General features: G+C 49.4%; 1 protein-coding gene across 2 annotated transcripts, besides 1 other annotated feature; it reads left to right on the top strand.

Moving 5' to 3' along the window:
- Nucleotides 6,749-13,015, top strand: NUPR1 (nuclear protein 1, transcriptional regulator). Of its 2 annotated transcripts, none has more exons than NM_012385.3 (3): nucleotides 6,749-6,927; nucleotides 7,568-7,717; nucleotides 8,054-13,015. In NM_012385.3, exons 1-2 carry the CDS (start codon nucleotides 6,816-6,818, stop codon nucleotides 7,702-7,704), a joined length of 249 nt encoding a protein of 82 aa, NP_036517.1. In that variant the 5' UTR covers nucleotides 6,749-6,815; the 3' UTR covers nucleotides 7,705-7,717; nucleotides 8,054-13,015. The 2 variants fall into 2 exon arrangements, with proteins under 2 accessions (NP_036517.1, NP_001035948.1); NM_001042483.2 differs by having other exon boundaries at nucleotides 7,514-7,717.
- Nucleotides 6,756-7,955: an enhancer, noted in NCBI's record as "MED14-independent group 3 enhancer chr16:28549089-28550288 (GRCh37/hg19 assembly coordinates)". NCBI's record gives its function as "activates an origin of replication core promoter dependent on BRD2, BRD4, P300/CBP and CDK7 cofactors, and independent of MED14, by STARR-seq in HCT116 cells {active_cell/tissue: HCT116}" and the evidence as "EXISTENCE:reporter gene assay evidence [ECO:0000049][PMID:35650434]".
- Nucleotides 13,016-14,515: the final 1,500 nt, after the last annotated feature.

Below are 14,515 nucleotides of genomic sequence, written 5' to 3'. Positions count from 1 at the left end.
CCAGCCTTATTCTAGGTTTTTCTACTACTGTGTTTTATGTGGCTGTCTATTTTAGTTGTCAGGAGAAAATGTCACACCTCTATTATGGTGAAAACTGTGTATTACTCATAGTTATCTATACATTTAATGCAAAAATATAATTTGTAGTGTACATGATGTTCTGCAACCTGTGTTTTTCATTAGGAATGTATTATGGACATCTTTCTCATCAGAGATAGAGATACATTCTCTCTCTAAAGAGTATTGAATGGCTACAGTGTTTCACAGAAGGAAACTGATCAGTCACCTACTGATGGACATTTAGGTTGTTTCCGATTTTTGGTTTTTGCTTTTTTTAGAGACAGGGTGTTGCTCTGTCGCCCAGGCTGGAGTGCAGAGGCACCATCATGGCTCAAGCCATCCTCCTGCCTCATCCTCCTGAGTAGCTGGGACTACAAGTACACACCACCATGCCAGTCTTTTTTTTTTTTTTTTTTTAAGATATGGGGTCTCGCTATGTTGCCCAGGCTGGGTTTCCTGTTTTTCACTACTACAAACAAATGAACTTCCTTGTACCTGCCTCTTTACTCACCTCTGGGAAGATTTCTGTAGGAGAGACTCCTGAAAGTGGGACTGCAATATCAGGGGGATATAAGCATTTCAAAATCTTATCAATGTTGCCAAACCACCCATTAAAGACAGCATCTGGCTGGGCGCAGTGGCTCATGCCTGTAATCCCAACACTTTGGAAGGCTGAGGCAGGCGGATCACCTGAGGTTAGGAGTTCGAAACCAGCCTGACCAACATGGTGAAACCCCGTCTCTACTAAAAATACAAAAATTAGCTGGGCATCATGGCATCTGCCTGTAATCCCAGCTACTAGGGAGACTGAGGCAGGAGAATCGCTTGAACCCGGGAAGCGGAGGTTGCAGCTAGCCGAGATTGCGCCACTGCACTCCAGCCTGGGCAACAAGAGCAAAACTCCATCTCAAAGAAAAAAAAAAAAAGACAGCATCCACTGATATTTAAAACGATGATATCACACAGCCAAGAAAACTTGCAAATGCAGCTGCCAGATTTGACATTTTTATCTGGGATGGGGTTGTGAGATCATATGGATATATTTTGTTTAACCTCATTTAGATTTCTTGTGTCCTCTTGGAACACAGCGATGTCCAATCCACCTTAATTACGTATTCTGCCTTCAGCCTGGGAAGCTTCTGTTCCTTTGAGCTAGTGACTTCGTACATCCCTCAGGCTATCCAACAGAGAGGAAGTCTTGCTGTGTTGCCTAGGCTGGAGTGCAGTGGTGCGATCATGGCTCACTGTAGCCTCAACCTCCTGGGCTCAAGTCATCCACCTGCCTCAGCCTCCTGAGTACTTGGAGCTACAGGCATGCACCACCACGCCTGGCTAACTTTTGGATTTTTTTTGTAAAGATGAGATCTCGCTATGTTGCCCAGGCTGGTCTTGAGTTCCTGGGCTCAAGCAGTCCTCCTGCCTCGGCCTCCCAAAGTGCTGGGATTACAGGTGTCAGCCTTTGCATCTGGCCCACAAACAGCCATTCTTGTTCAAACTTTGCCTCCAGGCCTGGCGTGGTGACTCACGCCTGTAATTCCAGCTATTTGGGAGGCCGAGGTAAGAGGACCACTTTAGCCAAGGAGTTCAAGACCAGTCTCGGCAACATAGGGAGACCTCATCTCTACAAAAAATAAAATTAGCTGGGCATGATGGTGCGTGCCTAAAGTCCCAACTACTTGGGAGGCTGAGGTGGGAGGATCCCCTGAGCCCTAGAGGTCGAGGCTACAGTGAGCAAGGTTGCTCCACTGTATTCAGCCTGGACGACAGAGTGAGAACCTGTCTCAAAAATAAATAAATAGGCCGGGTGCGATGGCTCATGCCTGTAATCCTAGCACTTTGGAAGCCGAGGCGGGTGGATGACTTGAGGTCAGGAGTTTGAAATCAGTCTGGCCAACATGATGAAACCCTGTCTCTACTAAAAATACAAAAATTAGCTGGGTGTAGTGGTGCATGCCTGTGATTCCAGCTACTCAGGAGACTGAGACAGGAGAATCGCTTGAACCCGGGACACGGAGGTTGCAGTGAGCCGAGATCGTGCCACTGCACTCCAGCCTGGGTGACAGAGCAAGACTCTGTCTCAAAAAAAAGAGAAAAAAAGAAAAAAGAAAAGAAAATTAAAATTAAATTAATTAATTAATTAAAAATAAAAGAATTAGAAAACAAGCTTCACCTCCTCCAGGAAGTGTGCCTTCATCTCCCTATCTCCAGAGAGGTTAGGTGCCCTCCTGGGAGCTCCCAGCCCTCTGCGTTTACTCCAAGCTGATGGCGCTGGGTTGTCATAGGTGTGCCTAGCAACGTCACGAAGGTGTAACTCTAAGCAGGAAGAAAATAAACTTCCTCGTGGCAGATTTTACATGCACCTGGAGGCTTGAGGATGGGAAAATGAAACCATCCCTGTAAACCTCATGCAATTAATCAGAGAACAGAGAGGAGAAATGGAAACAAGCCAGGCTTGCAGCACACCCAGCGCTGATCATGAGGTCAGCTGCCCCCTGATCTGCTTCCTCTTAGTTGTCTGGTGCCTGCTGTTCTAGAATCACGTAGACCTGGTTACAAGATCATAGTTCCCCTTAACTGCACTAGAGATAGCAACTTGAACGTTATGAAACATTAAATGTTACTTTTGAGAAATTCCTTCAGGTCCTGCGTGCCGGTGAAGCGACTGACTCCGCCAGCCTGAAGGACCCCACCAGGAGCTAACTCCCCAAAAATGTCTTTTTCACATCATGATGATTTCATTTCCCTTGCTCTGACCAATGACCCCAATTTTCTAGCCTCTCACCCTCCATAATCCCCTTAAAAGCCCCATCCCAGAATTCCCTGGGGAGATGCATTCGCAGGTCTCCTCCTATCCCCTTGCACAGTGCCCTGTGATCATGAAACTCTCTCTACTGCATCCCTGCTGTCCAGTGTAATAGGGCTGTGACAGGGCAGCAGGCATACAAATCTGCTGTTCCTGTAACAAAAAGCACACCTCTACGTCTAGATGGAGCCACGTCTAGAGCCCTGCAGATCCATGCTAGAGGGGTTCCAGCAGGCTGGAGTACAATGGCGTGATCTCGGCTCACTGCAACCTCTGCCTCCTGGGTTCAAGAGATTCTTCCGCCTCAGCCTCCCGAGTATCTTGAATTACAGGTGCATGCCTCCACGCCCAGCTAATTTTTGTATTTTTAGTAAAGACGGAGTTTCACCATGTTGGCCAAGCTGGTCTTGAACTCCTGACCTGGTGATCCACCCGCCTCGGCCTCCCAAAGTGCTGGGATTACAGGCGTGAACTACCGCGCCTGGCCCTTTTTTTTGTTTTGTTTTGTTTTTTGAGATGGAGTCTCGCTCTGTCGCCCAGGCTGGAGTGCAGTGGCGCGATCTGGGCTCACTGCAAGCTCCGCCTTCCGGGTTCATGCCATTCTCCAGCCTCAGCCTCCCCAGCAGCTGGGACTACAGGTGCCCGCCACCACACCCGGCTAATTTTTGTATTTTTAGTAGAGACGGGGTTTCACCATGTTGGCCAGGCTGGTCTCCAACTCCTGACCTCAGGTGACCCACCCAACCTCGTCGGCCTCCCAAAGTGCTGGGATTACAGGCGTGAGCCACCATGCCCTTCCTCCTTCTCTCATAGGCTTCTTTCTTCCAGCACCTGTAAGATCAAGGCCAGGGAGACCTCCTTCCCTGGCTCCATCTGGGACAATCACAGTGTTTCTGTGGTCCCCTGTGAGGCTACAATTCGCCTCTCAGTTCCTGCATTGCAGAGCAGGTGGAAGCTGAGCAAGCAACACTGATCTTAGCAGAGCCTCATGTATTCAACTAGACATTTACTGAGCTCAGACTGAGTGCCAGGCATTGAGGATACAATATGGCAGGCAAGATTCCTGCCCCGAGAATAATGATAATTAAAATAGCAAGCATTTATTGCACACTGATTATCTTCTAGGCACTGCGCTAAGCATTTTTTTTTTTTTTTGAGACCGGGTCTCACTCTGTCGTCCAGGCTGGAGTGCAGTGGCGCGATCTTAGCTCACCGCAACCTCTGCCTCCTGGGTTCAAGCGATTCTACTGCCTCAGCCTGCTGAGTAGCTGGGATTACAGGCACACACCACCACGCCTAGGTAATTTTTGTATTTTTAGTAGAGACGGGGTTTCACCATTTTAGCTAGGCTGGTCTCGAACTCCTGATCTCGTGATCCACCCACCTCGGCCTCCCAAAGTGCTGGGATTACAGGTGTGAGCTACCGTGCCCGGCCCCAACCTTCTTTTCTTTTTCTTTTTCGAGTGCAGTGGCACGATCATAGCTCACCGCAGCCTCAAACTCCTGACCTCAAGTGATCCTTCCACCTCAGCCTTTCAAAACAGTGGGATTGCAGGTGTGCCTCACCTTATCCAGCCTAGGTGCCATTAATCCCACTGTATAGACGAGTAAACAAACATGCAGACTAAGCTTGTCTAAGAGCACACAGCTAACTAGGGGGCAGAACCAAGCTTTAGACCTGAGAAGCCCTGTTCCAGAGCCTACTCCTTTAACCATTAACTAAACTAAACCAACGGTTGCATGCCAGTGGGGACAAATAATGGTAAAGCAAACAAATAAAAAAGATACTGGCCAGGTGGCTCACGCCTGTAATCCCAGCACTTTGGGAGGCCGAGGCGGGCAGATCACCTGAGGTCAGGAGTTCGAGACCAGCCTGGCCAACGTGGTGAAACCCCGTCTCTACTAAAAATATAAAAATTAGCCGGGCGTGGTGGCACAAGCCTGTAATCCCAGCTACTCAGGAGGCTGAGGCAGGAGAATCACTTGAACCCAGGAGGCGGAGGTTGCAGTGAGCCGAGATCATACCACTGCACTCCAGCCTGGTGACAGAGTGAGACTCTGTCTCAAAACAAAAACAAACAAACCAACAAAAAAAGGATGGAGTCTTGCTCTATTGCCCAAGCTGGCCTTGAACTCCCAGCTTCAAGCAATCCTCCCAGCTTACCCTCCCAGAGCCCTGGAATTACAGGCATGAGCTACCGCACTAGGCCAATCTTTGCTTAATTTAAGATTATTTTCCTCTTTCTCTGATCACCTGGTCTGTTATTATTGGCCCAATCCTGTTTTCATTCAAGTATCCTGTCTTCACTTTCATTTCCTGGGTGTTAAGGAACTCATACATCATCCAAATCTGGGAAAACAAAGGCTAAATTCAATTCCGGCTCAGGCAAGGGAGAAACACAAGCAGAAGTTCAGCTTTTTGTGTTTTTGTTTTTGTTTTCAGACACAGTCTCATTCTGTTGCTGAGGCTGGAGTGCAGTGGCTCGATCTCAGCTCACCACAACCTCTCCCTCCCAGGTTCAAGCGATTCTCCTGCCTCAGCCTCCTGAGTAGCTGGGATTACAGGCACTTGCCACCACACCAGGCTAATTTTTGTATTTTTAGTAGAGATGGGATTTCGCCATGTTGGCCAGGCTGGTCTTGAACTCCTGACCTCAGGTGATCCACCCACTTTGTGGATCTCCCAAAGTGCTGGGACTACAGGCATAAGCCACCACGCTCGGCCTCATTGTGTCTTCTGCCTCAGTACATCCATATTTTGAAATACATATTATTTTATTATAATTTGTTTTTGAGACAGGGTCTCCCTCTGTCACCGGGCACTGTAGCATGTGTCTTTCAAACATTATCTCATTTGATCCTCTCCCCAACTCTAGGAAGAAGATACAATTATTATCATCCTTATTTTACAGAATTGGAAACCAAGGCACAGAGAGGTGAAGGGACTCGCCCAAGGTCACACGGAAAGTGGTGGGTCAGGGGATTGAACTGAGGGCAACTGGCTCCAGACCCTGAACTCTCCAACCCTCTGCCACCCTCCTCCTAGGTGAGGGAGATTACATTACTGGGGACCCTGTTTCAGGATATTAAGGGGTTTTCCAAGATGTTTCTCATAGAAAAAAGAAAAAAAAGGGTGTGGCTCATGCCTGTAATCCCAGCACTTTGGGAGGCCGAGGCAGGCAGATGACTTGAGGTCAGGAGTTCAAGATCAGCCTGTCCAACATGGTGAAACCCCATCTCTACTAAAAATACAAAAATTAGCCAGGCATGGTGGCAGATGTCTATAATCCCAGCTATTCGGGAGGCTGAGCCAGGAGAATTGCTTGAACCTGGGAGGAGGAGGTTGCAGGTTGCAGTGAGCCAAGATCACACCACTGCACTCCAGCCGGGCGACAGAGACTCCATTTCAAAAAAAAAAAAGAAGACAAGCAAGATGTTGAGTGTGACTGGGTGGAAGCCACTGACTTGTCCCTGGCACAAGTGTGCTGATATCCCTTCCCCCTCCTTCCTCACGTCCTGCATCTCAGCGAGAATTGGGGTGCCGGGGTTAGCTGTGTGGCCGTCATCCCAGGCCCAGGTGAAGCCCTCGATCAGGTGAGGCCATGATCCCAACGAGTGTTTTAGCCCAGATCCTGCCTCTTCCCTGCTTTCTGCCGAGAAGCGGGACCTCCTCTATGGAAAATATCCAGCTGGGTGAGCCTGGGAGGGAGGAGGTGAGTTGGGCTGGACTCAGGGACCGACTCTTCCCGTCTCATGACTGTGTTTACTGGGCTGGATTTTGGGAAGGGGCCAGATTGCATCAGACAGGGCCTGATGGGCTGGAGCCAGACTGTGGTCTGAGGAGGAGACACAGCCTTATAAGCTGAGGGAGTGGAGAGGCCCGGGGCCAGGAAAGCAGAGACAGACAAAGCGTTAGGAGAAGAAGAGAGGCAGGGAAGACAAGCCAGGCACGATGGCCACCTTCCCACCAGCAACCAGCGCCCCCCAGCAGCCCCCAGGCCCGGAGGACGAGGACTCCAGCCTGGATGAATCTGACCTCTATAGCCTGGCCCATTCCTACCTCGGTAAGGCCCACTCAGCCATCTCCACGGTCCTTCCTCCTCTCCCGAAATCAGGACCCACCCCTCTTGTTTCCTCTCATTTCCTTTCCTTTCCTCTTCGTTTCTTTCTTTCTTTTTTTTTGAGAGAGTCACTCTGTCACCCAGGCTGGAGTGCAGTAGTGTGATCACAACAACTCAAACAACTCACCGCAGCCTCGAACTCCTGGGCTCAAGTGATCCTCCTGCTTCAGCCTCCTGAGTGGCTGGAACTTCAGGTGTACACCACCTGCAGTGGTGAGATGGGGTCTCACTATGTTTCCCAGGCTGATCCCAAATTCCTGGGCTCAAGCAATTCTCCTGCCTTGGCCTCCCAAAGTGCTGAGATTACAGGAGTGAGCCACCCTGCCCAGCCCACTCACCCTTTTCTAGCCAACCTGTTCCTTGGACCCTCACGTCACCCCTGTCTAATCCCTTATCCCAGGAGTGCTATGTTACTCAGCCTGGGACCTCACACACATCTGGGGTCCCACATTCCACAGAGGGGAAGCAGCAGGCTTCTCCCTGCTCTTCCCATCCCCACAACCCTGAACCCCTGCCTCTCCTCTGACAGGGCCTCTCATCATGCCTATGCCCACTTCACCTCTGACTCCTGCCTTGGTTACAGGAGGTGGAGGCCGGAAAGGTCGCACCAAGAGAGAAGCTGCTGCCAACACCAACCGCCCCAGCCCTGGCGGGCACGAGAGGAAACTGGTGACCAAGCTGCAGAATTCAGAGAGGAAGAAGCGAGGGGCACGGCGCTGAGACAGAGCTGGAGGTAAGGAGTCGGGGGGCCCAGAGAGCTCAAGGTGGTGCTTCTGCCATGAAGGACAGGCCGGAAGGTGTGTGATTGGGTGGGGAGGAGGGATCAGGCAACTGTTGTCTTGATGCAGAATAAAACGAGACATATGTTTGATTGTGAGTTTCCTAGTGGCCAGAGCAAAGTGGGAACACAGAACCTTTCCAATTGAAGGGAAATTTGACTTACAGAGACAGAAATTGAGGATAGAGAGGGTGGGTCCTTCCCTGGAGTCACAAATCAAGTGAGTGGGAGAGGCAGAATTAGAACCCAGATCTCTGTCCCTTTTACCACCTGCTTTTCCTCACCCCCCAGATGAGGCCAGACCATGGACACTACACCCAGCAATAGAGACGGGACTGCGGAGGAAGGAGGACCCAGGACAGGATCCAGGCCGGCTTGCCACACCCCCCACCCCTAGGACTTATTCCCGCTGACTGAGTCTCTGAGGGGCTACCAGGAAAGCGCCTCCAACCCTAGCAAAAGTGCAAGATGGGGAGTGAGAGGCTGGGAATGGAGGGGCAGAGCCAGGAAGATCCCCCAGAAAAGAAAGCTACAGAAGAAACTGGGGCTCCTCCAGGGTGGCAGCAACAATAAATAGACACGCACGGCAGCCACAGCTTGGGTGTGTGTTCATCCTTGTTCTTTGTGTGTTTTTGTTCGGGCATGTGTGTGCTTGCCTGTGCCTGCACATTCATGAGCCTGAGAGAGCATCTTTGATGTGTATTTGTGTTTGGTGTATGTATCTGGGGCAGGGAGTGTTCCTGCTCTTGCAGGGTCTACGCTGTGAATGCAGCTTTTGGTTTGTTTGCTTTTGCTTGCATATATTTTAGTGCATACATTTCTGTGGGCTCCTACGTAGTGGAAAGGAATTTCTTCTGCTTTTTTGCGATACTGCCCATGAAACACGGCCCTCCCCAGCACCTGTTTTTGTTGATTGTGTCCTGTTCATAGACGGGAACGCTACTTATGAGTGCCATCTAAAAGTCAGAGAAAACTGAGATTTAAAATATTAAAAGCCAGGGCCGGGGGCAGTGGCTCACGCCTGTAATCCCAGCACTTTGGGAGGCCGAGGTGGGTGGATCACAAAGTCAGGAGTTCAAGACCAGCCTGACCAACATGGTGAAACCCCATCTCCACTAAAAATACCAAAAATTAGCCAAGCATGGTGGCAGGTGCCTGTAATCCCAGCTGCTCAGGAGGCTGAGGCAGTAGAATCGCTTGAACCCAGGAGGTAGAGGTTGCAGTGAGCCGACATCGTGCCATTGCACTCCAGCCTGGGTGACAGAGGGAGACTCTGTCTCAAAACAAACAAACAAACAAAAACTAAAGTCTGGGAGCAGTGGCTCATGCCTGTAATCACAGCAGTTTAGGAGGCCGAAGTGGGAGGATTACTTGAGCCTAGGAGTTTGAGACCAGCCTGAGCATCATAGTAAGACCCCATCTCTACAATTTTTTTTTTGAGACAGAGTCTCACTCTGTTGCTCAGGTTAGAGTGCAGTGGCACCATCTTGGCTCACTGCAACCTCTGCCTCCCGGGTTCAAGCAATTCTCGTGCCTACGCCCCCTGAGTAGCTGGGATTACAGGTGAGCACCACCACGCCTGGCTAATTTTTGTTTTTTTGTTTTTTTGATACAGAGTCTCACTCTGTTGCTCAGGCTGGAGTGCAGTGGCATGATCGCAGCTCACTGCAACCTCCGCCTCCTGGGTTCAAGCTATTCTCCTGCTTCAGCCTCCTGAGTAGCTGGGACTACAGGCACCTGCCACCATGCCTGGCTAATTTTTGTATTTTTAGTAGAAACAGAGTTTCACCATGTTGGCCAGGATGGTCTCAATCTCTTGACCTCATGATCCACCCACCTTGGCCTCCCAAAGTGCTGGGATTACAGGCGTCAGCCACCACGCCTGGCCAATTTTTGTATTTTTAGTAGAGATGGGGTTTCATCATGTTGGCCAGGCTGGTCTCAAACTCCTGGCCTCAAATGATCTGCCCACCTCAGCCTTCCAGCCTTTGGGAGGCCAAGGAGGGAGGATCGCTTGAGGCCAGGAGTTCGAGACCAGCCTAGGCAACATACCAAGGCCCTGTCTCTACAAAAATTTAAAAATTAGCAAAGCATGGTGGCTCATGCCTGTAGTCCTAGTTGCTCAGAGGCTGAAGTTGGAGGATCCCTTGAACCCAGTTGGAGGCTACAGTAAGCCATGATGGTGCCACTGCACTGCAGCCTGAGCAATAGAGTGAAACCATGTATTGAAAAAGAAAGAAAGAAAGAAAGAGAAAAAGAAGGAAGGAAGGAAAAGAAAGGAAGGAAGAAAGAAAAGAAAGAGAGAAAGGAGAGAAAAAGAAGAAAGAGAGAGAAAGAGAAGAAAGAAAGAAAGAAAGAAAGAAAGAAAGAAAGAAAGAAAGAAAGAAAGGAAGGAAGGAAAGAAAGAAAGAAAGAAGGAAAGAAAGAAAGAAAGAAAGAAAGAAAGAAAGAAAGAAAAGAGCGAGCCCCGGCACAGTGGCTCACACCTGTAATCCCAGCACTTTGGGAGGCCAAGGCAGGCGGATCACCTGAGGTCAGTAGTTCGAGTTCGAGGCAGAAGTTGTGGTGAGCCAAGATCACGCCATTGCACTCCAGCCTGGGCAACAAGAGCAAAACTCCATCTCAAAAAAAGAAAAAGAGAGAGAAAGAAAGAGAGAAGGAGGGAAAGAAAGAGGAAGGAAAGGAGGGAGGGAAGGAGGGAAGGAGGAAAGGAGGGAAGGAAATATTAAGGGATTTGCCCTAGCTCACTCAGGGCTCATATTCAGGGATCTTATTGTCTTCAGATATGAGGTGGGTCCCCAGGCCAAGGGGGCTGTGGGACAGGGTTCTGGGAAGTGAGATGGGGGAGGGAGATTCTTATTCAGTGCTATGTCTCAGGACCAGAGTTGAAGAAAAATATGGGGCAAACAGGAAGTGTGGTTGGAGCTGAGATTATTTGTTGATTGAGATACAGGTTTGGGTTGCTATTATGAAGAATCAAAACAGGATACAAAGTTACTCCTCTCTTACTTAGCCCCAAGTCCTCCTGGGTTCAAATGGCAGCTCCATTGTGTTGAGGATTCCAGCTATTTTTACTCACTGTTCTGCCACACCCAAAACATGGCTTCCACTTTGAGGCCCAAAATAGCTACTCCAATACCTGCCATCACGTTTGCATCTCAGCCTGTGGAAAGAGTGTGGAAGAGACAGAGGAGGCCACACCTCTTCAATTTTAGGGCATAATCTAAAAGTAGAACACATCACATCTGCTCCGAATGTGGCTACATGGCCACACCCAACTACGAGAGAGGTTGGGAAATGTAGCATTGAGCTGCTTAGCCACGTGGTAGCCAAAACTTGGGCAACAGCAGGGTTTTATGATGAAAGGGAACCAGAGAGAGTGAATACACGAAGAAGCTAGCAAGAAACATTGCCCACATGCAGACTCAACAGATGTCGGGGGAGAAAACTCTGAGATTGGGCCCCGGGCAGAGCCTGTTTCCTTTTCCCCTGTCCCTTTCACATAAGCCCCACACTGCAGAACTTGGAGTCAGTGGTTCATGGGGACCCAAGGACATCCACAGAAGACCGAAGTACCTGATAGAGCAGGAACAGATGCACGTCAGACTACGACCAGCTTGAACCCTTGGGGACCTGTATCCATCCCCTTCCCTTGAGTCCAGCCTAATCACAGCCACAGAATGAATCCATGACCCGGAAGGACATTTAAGGACCTCTGGCCCAACTCTCCCCACGCAACAGTGGGATTGCCTCTGCTTGTTTGAATACCACTATGGAGGGGGAACTTGCTACATTTAAAGGTTGCTGAATTTTTTTGTTTTGTTTTGGGAGATGGAGTCTCTCTCTGTCGCCCAGGCTGGAGTGCAGTGGTGTGATCTCGACCCACTGCAACCTCCGCTTCCTGGGTTCAAGCGATTTTCATGCCTCAGCCTCCCTAGTAGCTGGGACTACAGGTGTGGGCCACCACACCTGGCTAATTTTTGTATTTTTAGTAGAGACGGGGTTTCACCATGTTGCCCAGGCTGGTCTCAAACTCCCGACCTCAGGTGATCTGCCTGCCTTGGCCTCCCAAAGTGTTGGGATTACAGGCTTGAGCCACACCACCCGGCAAAGGTTGCCTAATTCTATCTCAGGGCAAGTCTGTTCATGTGGGCTGAAATCTGTCTCTCATACCTGCCCTTAAATAAGCTTCTGTTTTTCTGGTCCTTTCTGTCTGAGATGACTTTAATTCCTCCCCCGACCCCATCTCATGAGGCTCAGCTTAGATGTTTCCTTCTCTTCCTCCCTGATGGCTGCGTGCAGAAGCTCATACCTGCAATCCCAGCACTTTGGGAGGCCGAGGTGGGAGGATTGCTTGGGCCCAGGAGTTCTAGGCCAGCCTAGCAACACAGCAAGACCCTCTCTCTACAAAAAATTAAAAATTAGCCAGGTGTGGTGGCTTGTGCCTGTGGGCCCACCTACTCAGGAGGCTGAGGTGAGAGGATCTCTTGAGTCTGGGAGGTGGAGGCTGCAGTGAGCCATGATCTCACTCCAGCCTGGGCGTCAGAGTGAGACCTGTCTCAAAAAAACAAAAACCAAAGTTTTCCTTAACTTGCAATCCTCCACCCATCTCCTGACCTCCACCCCAGGCCGACCCTCCTCTGGGATCACACGGAAGCCTGGGCCCAGAATCTTACAGTCTACCTTGGAAATCCTTCAGATTTTGCCTCCAACTCCTCTTTCCATACAAGTTACATATTAACTCAATCAATGCTTATTGGATGCCTTCTGAGTTACCAGGATGCTGCTGGAGGCCTGTGCTGCTGAGAGGGACAAATAGAATCCTGATATGACTGGAACCAGGAATAGGGCCACCATCAGCTCTAGAACCCAGGGAGCAAATGGCAGGAGCAACACCAGGCAGTCGGCCCTCAGCCCAGCACAGACCTGGTGTGTTGGCTTCAGAAAATCCTGGAAACATCTCTGCTGTGTTTGGAGCTCCTATTCTGTGAGAAGTGTTTTATAGGCTTTGCTCCATTTAATCCTTACGATAACCCAATAGGACATACTATTAATGATCCCCTTTTTTTCAGACCGGAAAACTGAGGTTCGGAGACATTAAGTAATTTGCCTAAAGTCACACAGCCACATCCTGTAGGACTTGGAATTATGAACTCAGGTCTATCTGAATTTTAAAGCCTGGATTTTTCCCCCTTTGCTACATGCCTGGGAAGAACCATGTATTGACAATGAAGAATCCTAAACTCTCGTTAATTTCTGGTCAATTACTCCTCTGGGCCTGGGTTTCCTCACCTGTCAAATGGTGAGACTGGCCTCTCTTCTGTCAAAAGAGAAAATGAAGGCTGGGAAGCACTGTGTCCCTAGCTGGAATGGCCACTCCCTGTCCTGGGTCCTTTGACACCAGCCAGGAGTCCTCACACACTGCCCCTCCCTCCTGGCCTCTGATTGGCCTTTCCTGGCCTCGCCCTCGCCTGGCACAGCCTCTGCCTGAGAGGCCTTTAAGTGGCTGTTCTGGGAATTAAGGCAATTCTTGGAATTGCAGAATTTTTGGATCCGAAAGGATCCTACCCAGACTCTTCCTCTTCTGTCTCCATCCCCTTTCCTAAACCCTTTCTTTTTCTTCTGGTTGCATGTCTGTTTCCCCATTTTGGGGGGATCCCCCTGAGAACTAGAGAAATCACTGACCTCTGTCCTACCCCAGGGGCTTACAGAATTGGCCCTGTCAGGCTTCTGTAACTCAAAGGACTCCCGACTCCTTGCAGAGAACTGAGAAACTCACCATGGGGTTGTCTGTCTGTTCTGCAAGCAACCTGATTCTCTTCCACCTTCCCCTTTCTCAAAGGCCAGCTCACAGATACAGGAGTACATTTTTAAATTTCAGAATCACCCTCAGTTTTCTCCTTTTTGAGACAGGGTTTCAGTCTATCACCCAGGCTGGGGTGGAGTGGTGCAATCACTGCAGCCTTGACCTCCTGGGCTAATTTTTAAATTTTTCGTAGAGATGAAGTCTCGCTGCTATGATGCCAAGGCTGGTTTCAAACTCCTGTCCTCAAGTGATCCTCCTGCCTCGGCCTTCCAAAAGTGGTGGGATTACAGGCATGAGCCACCGTGCCCAGCCCCAAAATTGATTTTTTAACTAAAATCCCCTAAAGTTAATGCTAATGACAGTAATAGTTCCAGCTACCACTATTGATAATCTACCTTAGGGTTTTCCCAACTTCATCTTTCCCATAGCACTTTTGTGATTGATTTCTGCTGTCTATACATTCAAACTATACTATATATATTATGCTATATTTACTTAGCATTTAAAAACTACCTCCTGCCAGTCACAGTGGCTCACGCCTGTAATCCCAGCACTTTGGGAGGCCAAGGCGGGCAGATCACCTGAGATCAGGAGTTCGAAACCAGCCTGGCCAACGTGGGGAAACCCCATCTCTACTAAAAATACAAAAATCAGCCAGGCGCAGTGGTGGGTACCTGTAATCCCAGCTACTCAGGAGGCTGAGGCAGGAGAATTGCTTAAACTCGGGAGGCAGAGGTTGCAGTGAGCCAAGATCGTTCCGTTGCACTCCAGCCTGGGCAACAGAGCAAGACTCTGTCTCAAAAAAAGAAAAAAAAACTACCTCCTTATCCTTTTCACTCAAATATACTTAAAAAGGAAGCTACAGCATATAACCACCAACAATGGAAAACCATGGTCATATGTCATAATTAGAAATTAATTGTAGGCCAGACACAGCAGTTCACGCC

This window comes from Homo sapiens, chromosome 16, assembly GCF_000001405.40.
Source record: "Homo sapiens chromosome 16, GRCh38.p14 Primary Assembly".
NCBI classification, from domain to species: Eukaryota; Metazoa; Chordata; class Mammalia; order Primates; family Hominidae; genus Homo; species Homo sapiens.
This window is presented reverse-complemented; position numbering and strand designations above follow the sequence as displayed.

What these genes read in the sequence shown, in the direction of transcription:
- NUPR1 (NM_001042483.2), top strand. Translation starts at nt 6,816, where the DNA reads ATGGCCACCTTCCCACCAGCAACCAGCGCCCCCCAGCAGCCCCCAGGC. An exon ending in CCTGGCCCATTCCTACCTCG is followed by an intron (nt 6,928 to 7,513) that starts GTAAGGCCCACT and finishes CTCCTCTGACAG; the next exon opens with GGCCTCTCATCATGCCTATG.